This window comes from Homo sapiens, chromosome 5, assembly GCF_000001405.40.
Source record: "Homo sapiens chromosome 5, GRCh38.p14 Primary Assembly".
NCBI lineage: Eukaryota > Metazoa > Chordata > Mammalia > Primates > Hominidae > Homo > Homo sapiens.
Window position 1 is genome coordinate 38,433,892 of NC_000005.10, and position 12,424 is coordinate 38,446,315.

A 12,424-nucleotide genomic window follows, 5' to 3' on the forward strand; every position below is an offset into this window, starting at 1 on the left:
TTTTGGTCTATTAATCTAATTGAAATTTCCCTGGGCTACCTGGCTGGACCCAGCCATGGGGGCACTCCCTAAGATAAACAGAGCTTCTTCCTCCATGACTCGCCTGTCTTGTCTTCTCTACCCTTGACATGACCCCAGATTCATTCTCCTCCCTCTGGCCAATGATCTTCCAAAGCACAGACCTCTCTCTCCTGCTTAAGTCTCATTGCTTTTTGGGTAAAATTCATGCTCGTAATGTGGTGTGTAAGGCTCTGCATGCTCTGGCCCCCTCTCGCCTGTGCCTTATACTCACATTCCCTCTAAGCCCCAACGTCTTCCAGTTTCTACAATGTTAACTCTTCCTTGACCACCTCCCCTACTCCCTGTGTCTAGGGTAGGATATGAGACTCCCGTGTCCGGCACCCAGGTGCACCCATAGCCACCTGTACAGTTCTTCCCAGTGCTGATATCACCTGCTCTTTTACTTGTCTGTATTCCCTGCTCGCATAAACCCCTGCAGGGCAGGACTGGGTCTTTCTTATTTTCTGCTGTTTGTCCAGCACTTAACATAGTGGCTGGGGCATATTGTAGTATGTGCCTAATAATATTTGTTAAATCAATGATCAAAGCTGCTACTATTTGTATTTATTTTATCGTAAATCAAAGAAAATAATAACTTAACATTACCTAAAGTGTGTTCATTCCCAGAGCTCTCAAATGTAAGGATTTCTCACTCATGATACATATCCACCAATGGTTAGCTGCAGCTGTAATCTGAGATCTGGGCTGAAGGAACAGAGGGAAGGAGAAAAGGGCATGGTGAACTACTCTCTGGCTCTGAAAGCTTCTGCCCAGAAGTGATTCTTTTCTCTTCTGCTCATGTTTTATTGGCTATAAGAAGTCACACAAGCTCATCTGAGCCGACAGGTTGGAGGCAATCTTCCTGTGGGGAGGGGTACCTGTGAACGGTAGTGCAGTCTGCCACAGTCATCATGACATAGCTATGAGGTAGATACAATGACTCCCATTTTGCAGACAATGAAATGAAGTCTCAGAGACTTTAAGACGTTCACCAACATTCAGGCAGGTGGTAAGGAGCAATGAGAAACACTGTGAAAGTGAAGCCCTTGTGTAGACAGATTGTCATGATGGGTCTCTAGGCTCTGTCTACCATTTTGTTCCCCAACAGGGAACTGAAGACACATTTGATCATTTTGAACATCTGTTTTAAAGTCATACAATGCTTTGTTTTTAATCTTTTGGCAGGGAGGCTTCACACAGATTAAGTGCAACACAGACATTTTCATTGGCGGAGTCCCCAATTATGATGATGTGAAGAAGAACTCGGGTGTCCTGAAGCCTTTCAGCGGGAGCATCCAGAAGGTACAGGCATCTCTTCCTCATGTTTACTGGGCCACCCAGACTGTAGACAAAGAAAGTGAGGATTATGATCAGTGTCATCTGCTGCACCCAAGAAAGACACTTTGAGAAAGTTTTAACATTTTTAAAAATTTCTATTTTAATGCCCACAGCATGGCTTTCCAACCTCACTTTCTTAGAACATCTGCTCCTGGGTCTATGCCCGGCAGACATTCCATGAATGCTACTTGGTGATGATGAATTTTTATGGCAAATCTACCAAACTATATTAGGACTGCTGAGGGAGTGAAATGGCATCATGTGTCTGCAGATACTTCCACAGTAGGGAAGGAGGTGGACGGAGGTGAATAGCAACCTTGGCTCTGCGCTTCTCTTTTGCGGTACTTTGCAGTTTGCTCAACATTAGAGCCAGTGCTCATCCCCACCCCTACACTTTAGCAGTTGGTGTTCATTGATCATGTAACCAAGCTCTTAAGAGCATAGATTAAAGAGTTCTTCCCTAGAAGGTTCAGGAAAAAAACATTCAGTGAAAGATACTGACTCCCCCGGCTCTCTCTTTTTTTTTTTTTTTTTTTTTTTTTTTTTGAGATTGAGTCTCGCTCTGTCGCCCAGGCTGTAGCGCAGTGGCGTGATCTCGGCTCACTGCAACCTCCACCTCCTGGGTTCAAGCGATTCTCCTGCCTTAGCCTCCCGAATAGCTGGGATTACAGGTGCCTGCCACCACGTCCAGCTAATTTTTGTATTTTTAGTAGAGACAGGGTTTCACCATGTTGGCCAGGCTGGTCTCGAACTCCTGACCTTGTGATCTGCCCACCTTGGCCTCCCAAAGTGCTGAGATTACAGGCATGAGCCACTGCTTCTGGCCTGCTCTCTTTTATTCCTTCTCTTGGGGCTGCCCATGATCTCTGTGGTTATGAAGTCATGCTCTGTCTGCAACAGACCTGCAGCTTGACTCCCCAGCCCAGGTGGGCAGAACCACCAAACACTGGGAGAACAAGGATCTGAAGAAAAGCATGTTTAGTTCCTGGGTGTTAGCTTCATCCTGTTTTCCTTTAGTGACCAATGGTGGCTAAAGGATCCTTTTTGGACCTGAGATGGAGCATGAGGGAGGCTAAGGTGAAGGAGGAATGATGAAAGAAGTCCCTCCTTTCACTGAAAAGGGCCCCTGGTACTGTGACCATTTTATCTCGCATCGCAGTGTCAGGCCCAGTCAACATTTGCTGACAGTCACGTGTTTCCCTTTGTTACTGAAGTTCGAGGTCTGTGATACCTCAGTTCAGACCATTCTCCCCTATGAGTGGGATTGGCCATGCTTAACCAGGTGTTTCAAATTCTCACCTAGGAAACAAGCTGGGATGCTAAGACGTTTCCCATCCTCTGCCCGCTCTTCTCAGGCTGTGCCCTCCCCTTCACGCAGCACACACAACCCTCTCCCTATCTCCTGCTAGAAAGACCACCCTCTCTTGCCTGATTCACGGGCTGGGCCATGTCCTGTAGTGAACAGTGCCATTCCTGGCTTGTCTCAGCACATATTACGCAGTTTCATGGTCCTTCACTTGCAGCCTGAAAGGGGGAGATTGTAGAAGGATCCTGGCTACTTTCTAGCAGCTTCTCAGATTCAGGACTGGGGAAAAGTTTTCTCTCAACTCTCCCAGTGCTCTCCAAGGGCCAGGCAAGCCTTTGGAAGCTTAGATTCGTGGCAGGAAGTGCCATTGCTAACCTCTTATAACCCCTGGGCAGTGGGGGTTCCCCTGGGAGGTGTTCTTACTGTCTCGAAGTTCTGCAAAGCCAGCAACAGTTCAAAGTAAATCCATATTCTGAATCAAGGGCTGGTAAAGTTGGATCCATTTATTTGGGGCTAGGGAACCCAGTAGCCCCTCCTCATAATTTATCAGTTTCACTAGAGTCACATTGCAGGGCAGAAGGTGCAAGGGAGCTCTTGAGCACCAGTAAATCCATGCACAGTGGGGTAAAGAATGCGACCTGTGTTTCACTTTTGTTTCTTAAGTGGGGAAGGGAATGTGCAGAGGGAGGGGATTCAGGAACGTCAGGGAAGGAGGATAGCAGGAGTGAGTGGGACAATCGGGGAGGTCCAGCTGATGGAATTTTAGGAGACTGCTTGAGAACATTAGTTGGAAACATAAAGGAGTACACTAGGAAGTGTCTCTGGATTCCACAGCCACCGGGAGCCAGGGTGCCCTGTTTGACTTCCGCCTCCGTAACACTGTGTTTTGCACTCTCCCCACTCTGCTTTATATACCAGTGTCTCCCAGCCTGGGCTGCATCTTCTGAGGTGACTCTCAAAAACTTTTTAAAGTTACTGACGACTTGGTCTCACCTTCAGAGATTCTGGTTCAATGGGTCTGGGCGGGTCTGGGCATTAGTATTTCTTAAGAGCCCGCCAGGTGGTTCTAATGTGCAGCTGGGTTGAAATCCGAACTTTGTAGTTCTTGGGACTTCTTTACAACCTAACCGAGTGGCCAGTCTTCCGGAACCAGAGGAGCGCGTCACTCCGCAGATTCTCCCAAGTGGATCAACTTGGGATCACTTCAGCTCCTGCATAGATGACAAGACTATGAAAGTAGAAACTAGGCCTGGCGCGGTGGCTCACGCCTGTAATCCCAGCACTTTGGGAGGCTGAAGTGGGCGGATCACCTGAGGTCAGGAGTTCGAGACCAGCCTGGCCAACATGGTGAAACCCCATCTCTACTAAAAACAAAAATTAGCCGGGCGTAGTGGCGGGTGCCTGTAATTCCAGCTACTTGGGAGGCTGAGGCAGGAGAATTGCTTGAACCCAGGAGGCAGAAGTTGCAGTGAGCCAAGATTGCACTACTGCACTCCAGCCTGGGCAACACAGAAAGACTCCATCTCCAAAAAAAAAAAAAAAAAAGTGGAAACTGGACTTAAAAAAATTTTTTTTCAATCTCCCTATGTGTAGCTCAGGTTAATTTGCCAAGGGAAGCTTTAGAAGACTACAAAGATGTTTCTTAATTCCTGAATTTCTTTATGTTTTTCTCTCTCAAGATCATCCTGAATGACCGAACCATCCATGTGAAGCATGACTTCACCTCCGGAGTGAATGTGGAGAATGCGGCCCACCCCTGTGTGAGAGCCCCTTGTGCCCATGGGGGCAGCTGCCGGCCCAGGAAGGAGGGCTATGACTGTGACTGCCCCTTGGGCTTTGAGGGGCTTCACTGCCAGAAAGGTACGCTCAGGGGTCTGAGGCACAGCTCCCTGGAGGGAGTGGAAGGAACGGACAGCCAATTGGGGGACCACAACTCTTAATGGAAGAGTTGTAACAGTGGTACAACCATAGTGGTTATTTTGATCAATTATTTCAATAACTTATTAGATGATTATTTATAAACTACCATAATTCCTTAATAAGAGTTAAATGCTGAAATACTTCTGCTAACAGTGAGTAAATAGGTTCCCCACCCTCTGCCCTGGCTCCTTCCTTGAGAATCACCTCATAGTCTAGCAACCCAAGAGTTAACCCATAACAGAGTAGGGGTTTCCAGGACTTTTGCATCTGAGCCACTCCCAGAGCCTATCCTGATAGATGAATGCCTATGCTTTGTAGACTGATAAATATTTTAACCCCTGTCTGTGCATGCTGTATAAGAGAAACCTTGCCCAAATATGCAAAAACACAAATTATACATTAGTTGCTCCAAACTAAAGTATGCATAACCTTCTGTATAGTGCTATTTTTTAGGCTATCAAATTGCTGTGCCTCAGTTGTCTCAACTGTAAAATGGGAATAATAATAGCAGTATTATTGTGTGTCTAACACAGAGGGTTATAGTATTGACTAAATGAGACAATGGATCCAGAACATTTAGAAGAGGGCCTGGTAAGTACTCAAGCAACCAACAAATACTGGTCATTATTATTCGTGGGGAGAAAAATAAAATCCATTAGCAGGTGCTGTGGGCTACTCAGTTTCCATCTTACCCTAGACTGAAAGCCAAGGCAGGTCATAGACCATGAGACCCTGCTGGACTTGCTTTCTGTACCTGCTTATGGGAAGCTGAGGACACGGCCCTGGTATCTAGAATAGGCTTCCCACATATATCCATCATGTTGGGCCTTCATTTTTCAGTTTCAGTGTGGCCTTTCCTGCCCAGGAACTTAAAAAAAAAAAAAAACAAGCCTGGAAGAAATAAAGCAATGAGCCTCTGAAGGAATGTGCACTGTCTTTCTTATTTCCAGGTTGTTGATTTTTATCAGAATTAGGGCTTAGAGGAAAACTATAAATTACAGGTAGGTATGTTGGTATATGGAATGGTAGGAGAAGTCATTTTGTCATTTTGCAGCAGTCTTGGAAAATATGAAAGATGCCAATTTGCCAGTTGGAAGCCTTAGTAGTATTTCTTATGTTTAAATGAATTTGAAATCTACATGGCAAATCTTCCTTGTATTTTTAACAAGGGAGGGTAATTGATTCATTTGTGAATTATCCTGATTAGAATCCTAACAAGCAAATTGCTGTTTAGCTAATAGGTTGTACTTACAGAGATTTAGCTGAAGAGTGGCTCATTCATTCAGAAAATTGGGTTTGGATTTCACACATCAATGTTTGAATTTACTAAGTCTCCAATTTTACCACAGGAGCATCCAATTTGTGCTTGCCGTATATCTAACATTAATGGTCAATATGTAAATCCCGGACTTAGATGAACATTTAGCACTGGAAATTAAAGGGAGAAAGAAAGGATAATGTGTGATCTTGTTAGCCCTCATTTCCTGCTGCAGAACATTAGTCGTAACAGGGATAAAGTGCTCACATTTATAGCTTTGTAACTATAGGTTCAGGTTCAATGAGAAGCAAATCTTACCAGAATGTTGGGGCAGATCCCAGTGAGCACCTGGATCTGGCAAGATCTGTGGGAATGGATGACGGCAGAGGGAACTGCAGGACATTGGGGACTCTTTTCCTGCAAAGCAGTCTAGAACCAAGATTGGAACCCAGATGAGCCAGCAGCCACCCTCCATGTTGAATTAGTATCAGATTGTGTTTTGAAATCAAGATACTGCTTCTGGGAAGATGGCAACCTTTCCAAATCCTGGGAAGGTTCATATATCAGAGGTATGGCCCCTATCCCATAATTTCCTTTCCATCATAATGACTGGAGAGGATTAATGGGGCTCTGCAACAATTTTTCCAGCTCCAGCAGGTACCAATTGTGGGCAGTTGCCATGCCGACTGCTCTAATATTGGGGAAAACATTTAGTCCCATTGTAAAGATTGGAAAGAAAAGGAAAAGAGATGGGCGATTATGTTGTTCCATAGAGATGCAAGAGAATACATAGAAAGTTTGCGTAAATCCTTGGTTTGAAAGACCAAGAATGGTGAGAAGCCATCCTTGGTTGTCAGAAAGAATCCTGTCTCATCCAGCAAGGTGATTTTTAGCCTCATATATTTAAAAGTTGGGGTTTTTTTCTGCCTCATAATCAAACCATGTTTCAAAACAAGAGCCTGTTCCCAGTATTCCTACAGAAGTTAAACCAGTCCTTTTACATGAAGCAAAATGGTATAGAAATAACCAGCACCAGGGCTCATCCAATCCATACCAAAGGGCACCTTCTTTATGAGGAATTTTGTTTTCTGGATCGTCAGTGAGTCTGGGTCTTTTTCAGCCTCATCAGAGAGTGTGGCAAGTGAGTTCCACAAGGGCCGTAGTTGGACAATTTGACACTTGTTCCCACCTCTTGGTAACCCAGGAGAGCAGGGGCCAGAAACTCAGACAAATCCTGGAGCAGTTCCAGGCACTTGGACTACATGGTGGTTTCAGGGCCCCCGCTTTTCCCTGTGGGGTTGGGGGCAGGAGCAAGAGAGCCTGACCCAGACCAAGGGGTGCACTGAGCTCCCACTGAGCATCTGAGATGCTCTTGGGATGCCACAGGCTTCCTGTAGCAGTGGCCACTGCAGAAACTCAAACCTGTCTGTCCCACCTGCAAGACCCACCAGGACAGGAGAAGCCAGAGGTTCTTCTTACTCCCAGCTGTGACTTCAGGTGCCAAGAAAAAAACATAAGGTTTGACCTTGGGGGTCCCCTTGCCTTCCATTTGGTGGTTTCAGTTTCAGGCATCTTCTCCACCCCATGCACTACCCCAATACCTAGGCCCCCTTTTTTCTCAACAAGGCCTTCCCCATCAAAAATTACTTCCATACTTAGAGATTTCTTTCCTTTTTTCTTTACTTGCATCCAGTGGACCCATCCTGTGTCCCAGTTCCTCAGAGCTTGTGTATCTAAGTAAGTTACTAAAATGTTCTAGAAGAATTTCACAAAGCTCATGTAAAAAACTAAGTTCTGAGGAATATGAATCGCTGCTTTGTACACACACACACACACACACACACACACACGCATTCACGTACACGAAATGGGAGGAGGCTTCTATGGTGAAATACATTTGGATAATCCTGAGTAAACAGACAATTCTCTCTCTTCTGCAGAATTTCTCAGAGCCTTTGCTATGCTCTGAGCGTCTAAGAGGTGAGTACAGGACACAGATGTTTTCTCTGGGTTCTCCCAGTCTATAGTGGACAAGTCACCTGGGAAACTAAGCTTTGGCCCTTGCTTCCCTTCCCTGTGTTTCTAGAACAGCTTCAATTCAGACTGTGCAGGATTCCACAGGCCACTAGATGGCGGTGTTTCTCTGTAGCAGGTGGCCCCGCATAAGACAGAGCCAATAGCTGTTGAGACAAAGCTAGGCCTAGCGCCTGTACTCATCAGGGGCGCACAGTCCTCAAGTAACCAGTGCTGCCTGATTAATACTGACCTACCACACATGCAACATTTAGGGCATTTATGTTGTGTTTACTTGAGTCACATCATGTTCCAGGGTCTGATTTGGGTGATTTTGTTTGTTTGTTTTAGGTCCCAGTGTATATATATAAAAAAAGCTTCTGTAAATATAAGAAAACTCTGTATATAAAACCACAAATTAATAAAACACATAAATTATGCATGCTAAAGGGAATTTCTCTTTAATATAATTTAATATATTAAATGTTATGTCATTTATTATATTAAAAATTAATATACTAAATTTTTATATTTAATATCAATATATTATTTGATTTAAAATATTAAATTATATTAACATAATATGTTAATATTTAATACTAAATATGAAATTTTAATATATTAATTATTTTAATATTTTTAATTTAATATATTAAAATATGTTTAATATATTAAAAATAAGTCATTTCAAATTAATTGGAAAAGAGAGGTTATTTAATTATTGTTACACAAGTAATTCGGTTGTTATATAGGAAAAAAATTTCAATTGCGTTTATCTTACAGATGAATTAAAGAGTGAAACATGCAAACATACACATTAAACAAATACCCAGACTCTTTTCGCTGCAGTCCTTCAGCTAATGACCATGTTGGCTGTTCCCAGTCCCTCATTCTGGTCATTTTCTCTTTTAGTAATTGGAACTTGTAATAGCACAATTCTAAGATGGTTGCCAAGATTCCTGCACCTTTGTTAGGGAACCAGGAGCATAGGAGAGCCAGGGTGACAACATTAAAAAAAAAATCAACTCCATCTTAAAACTAGCAAGGTACATTCCTTGTCAGTCACATGGTCATATAAGATGTCTATGGCTAAAGAAGCAGCTTAGTAATGTCTGCAAAGACAAACCCTAGGACAACCAAACATTCAGACGCCCTGATATCGCATAACAATATATACTTTTAAGATGATTAGAGTCAGGCCAGGCGCAGTGGCTCATGCCTGTAATCCCAGCCCTTTGGGAGGCTGAGGCGGGCGGATGACCTCAAGTCAGGAGTTTGGGACTAGCCTGGGCAACATGGTGAAACCCCATCTCTACTAAAAATGCAAAAATTAGCCAGGTGTGGTGGTGCATGCCTGTAATCCCAGCTACTTGGGAGGCTGAGGCAGGAGAATCACTTAAACCCGGGAGGCAGAATTTGCAGTAAGCCGAGATCGTGCCACTGCACTCCAGCCTGGGTGACAGAGCGAGACTCTGTCTCAAAAAATAAAAAATATAAGATGATTAGAGTCATGCTTTGATGTATTTATGCACTAAAATGCGAAGGATAACTTCCTTTAGAAAACATTTAAACCAACTACATGAGCCAAATTCAAGGGGATTTCTTTTCTGTGGATGGTATATCATTAAACACCCCCAGAATGGGAGATCTGGGGGTGTTTAGTATAGATGTTGCTCTTTAGATAGTTGAAGGGCTGCTAGTTTAGGGAAAGGTTTTGTTTGTTTTTCCTTTGTGGCTACCGTCAGCATACTATAATAAAGATCTCTGTACCTAGTAGAATGGTCCAGCACGGGAGCGTGCCACCTTGTGGAAGAGTGAGCTGCTCATTGTGGGAAGTGTTTGCTCCGGCAGGATGGGCATCCATCAAGGATGCTGCTGAGAGGAGCCCTGGTTGTTGGGGAAGTTAGCCTTCCATGCCCACAGGGCCCTTTGCTTTGCTAAGGTCCCGTGAACGTGGGAAAGAAACCGTGGTCCCTTCAACTCTTTTTTTTTTTTTTTTTTGAGATGGAGTCTAACTCTGTCACCCCAGGCTGGAGTGCAGTGGCGTGATCTTGGCTCACTGCAGCCTCCGCCTCCCAGGTTCAAACTATTCTTCTGCCTCAGCCTCATGAGTAGCTGAGATTACAGGCATGCCCTACCATGCCTGGCTAATTTTTGTATTTTTAGTAGAGACAGGGTTTCCCCATGTTGGCCAGGCTGGTCTTGAACTCCTGACCTCAGGTGATCCACCCGCCTGGACCTCCCAAAGGGCTGGGATTACAGGTGTGAACCACCACACCTGACCAACTCTTTATAGTCTATTGGGAATTCCAAGCTCCTCAAATGGAAAATTTGCTTTGCCTGGACTGCAGGGCTTCTGGCTTGGAGGCTGCTGTCCACTGGGGTGTTTTTCTGTGTGTGTCACCATATGGCACAAGCTTTTAGATATAAATGTAAGAAAATGAAAAAAACACATTTCAACTAATCAGTGAGGCCATTGCCACAGAAAAAAGGCAATGTAGAAAAAATTAGGTATACTGGAAATGGTAGAGAGAAGTGGGGAATAGGAAGAGATTTGTTAAAGGATACAAAATTACAGGGAGATAGGAGAAATAAATTCTGGTGTTCCACAGCACTATAGGATGACTATAGTTAACAATAATATATAGTTTCAAATAACTGGCAGGAGGACATTTGACTGTTCCCAGCACAAAGAAATGATACATTTTGAGATGGGATGGATATGCTAATTACCCTGATCTGATTACTATATATGTATCAAAACATCACTATGTACCCCATAAATATGTAAAATTATTATGTGTCAATTAAATTTTTTTCAATAAAATAAAAGCAAAAAAATTAGGTATAGGGTTAGGTTAAAATATAATCATGTTGGCCAGGCGCAGTGGCTCACACCTGTAATCCAGGCGCTTTGGGAGGCCCAGGCAGGTGGATCACCTGAGGTCAGGAGGTCGAGACCAGCCTGGCCAACATGGCGAAACCCCAACTCTACTAAAAATACAAAAATTAGCCAGGCATGATGGCACATGCCTATAGTCCCAGCTACTCAGGAGGCTGAGGCAGGAGAATCGCTAGAACCCTGGAGGCAGAGGTTGCAGTGAGCCGAGATCGCGCCACTGCACTCCAGCCTGGGCAACAGAGCAAGACTCTGTCTCAAAAAATAATAATAATAGTAATGTTTACAACATTTAAACCAACTACAAAGAGCCAGAAAGGGCTCAGTGGTCACTTCAAGCTCTGATGATTTTGGATGTGATTATTTGTCCCTATATATACTCACTTAAATGAAGCATAGTTTGACTATTTTTTATTCAGTGGTGTTATTTCTCGAGGGTGCCTCTGCCTTTGTTAATCAGAAAATAACCAGGGGTCTGGAATCTTGCAATGGGGGGTGGCGTGGGAATGAGGGCGATATTTTCCACTAGGGAGAGAGAAGAGGCAGCTAGCTGGCTTATCATTCCTTTTTCACATGCAGCCTACAGCCAAGAAAAGTAATAATCATTGACAAGGTAAGTAACTCTTGAGCAAGGAGCTGTTTCTCTAGATTTAAAAGAAATGCAGATTGTCAGTTGAAGGTGAGGGAGCCTCAGAAGTGTCAGACAGCTGATTCTAAACATCTTCTTGGTCCACCGCCACGCCCACCTTCAATAAGCCGAGAAGAGGTGAGGAGGCGGGTGGCTGGGTGCCAATCATGCTGAGGAGAGATTTCCAGTGGTTCCCCGCGGGGCTCATATTCACATTCCCTAAGAGGACGTTCTGGACTCTCGGGCAGAGCTTTGTGAGAGAAACAAGGCTGGCTTCAAGTGATCTGCAACCAGAGTAATTGGGATTTGACAAGGACTGTGAAAGGCTGACTCTCCCTGTTCTCTTTCATGCTGGCACCGGGCAGAGTGTGGGAACTACTGCCTCAATAGTAAGTACAGTAAGTCCTGTGAGAAACTGCGAGAGCGCTCTGGGCTGGGGCAGGCCAACCGCATGCAGGGGGACCCGGGGTGAGTGGTGTGGGAGCTGGGACATGCCTACGCGTGGTGGGAAGCCTCCCCGCCGGCCAGCCAGAGGACACTTCTCTCCTGAGCTGGGGGCTGAGCCGGCAGCTGCTGGGGGCGCCCACAGACCCCCTCGGAAGCTCATGTGCAGAGCCGATGTGTGGCAGGCACGTCCCAACCCTTGCAAGGAGTTCAGGGGAAAGATGGCTGTTGGCCACAGGCCCACCGCCACGGGCCAACAACAGCAGGGACAGGCCCTGGCGGTACCTCTCCCCCGTGGGGGTGAGCCAAACCCACCAGGGACTCCTTGGTTCCGTTTAGCTCCGGGAAGGCCTCCCCCACCGCTCAGCTTGGATCTTCTCTCCTCCTTCTCCCTTCCCAGCCATGGTGTCCTGAAACGAGGGGCCGGCTGCCCCGGCTGAGAGCTTCCTTCCACCTCCTCCATTTTTGCAGTTCCCTGCCGCTGTATCCTCCTTCTCCCTGGCCTTTCTGTCTATTCCTCTGGGTCTATTCCCTCCCCTCCTTTTCCGGCGCCGCCTT

The 12,424-nt window shown here is 45.2% G+C and overlaps 1 protein-coding gene and 2 long non-coding RNA genes across 6 annotated transcripts in view, besides 1 other annotated feature; 1 reads left to right on the forward strand and 2 right to left on the reverse strand.

The window, feature by feature from the left end:
- Positions 1 to 12,424, forward strand: part of EGFLAM (EGF like, fibronectin type III and laminin G domains) — a 206,922-nt gene that overhangs the window by 175,333 nt on the left and 19,165 nt on the right. For 2 of the 4 annotated variants that reach the window (NM_152403.4, NM_182798.3), the window contains 2 exons: positions 1,246 to 1,362; positions 4,384 to 4,564. In NM_152403.4, the coding sequence (NP_689616.2) occupies positions 1,246 to 1,362; positions 4,384 to 4,564 (298 nt within the window). Of the gene's footprint in view, positions 1 to 1,245; positions 1,363 to 4,383; positions 4,565 to 11,654; positions 11,812 to 12,424 lie in introns of those variants that run through there. The other 2 variants (NM_001205301.2, NM_182801.3) reach the window with 2 other exon arrangements.
- The window catches only part of EGFLAM-AS5 (EGFLAM antisense RNA 5), a 33,866-nt gene continuing 22,051 nt past the window's right edge, over positions 610 to 12,424 (reverse strand). Inside the window, exon 2 of the long non-coding RNA NR_199676.1 lies at positions 610 to 1,402. This is a non-coding gene — a long non-coding RNA (EGFLAM antisense RNA 5). The remainder of the gene's footprint in view (positions 1,403 to 12,424) is intronic.
- Positions 8,112 to 8,161: a silencer, noted in NCBI's record as "silent region_15980". NCBI's record gives its function as "represses an Ori minimal core promoter by ATAC-STARR-seq in GM12878 lymphoblastoid cells {active_cell/tissue: GM12878}" and the evidence as "EXISTENCE:reporter gene assay evidence [ECO:0000049][PMID:35858748]".
- On the reverse strand, positions 11,189 to 12,355 carry LOC124900965 (uncharacterized). The gene is made up of 2 exons (XR_007058738.1): positions 12,182 to 12,355; positions 11,189 to 11,706 (listed from the first exon to the last, which is right to left on the reverse strand). It is a non-coding gene; the product is annotated as an uncharacterized LOC124900965 (long non-coding RNA).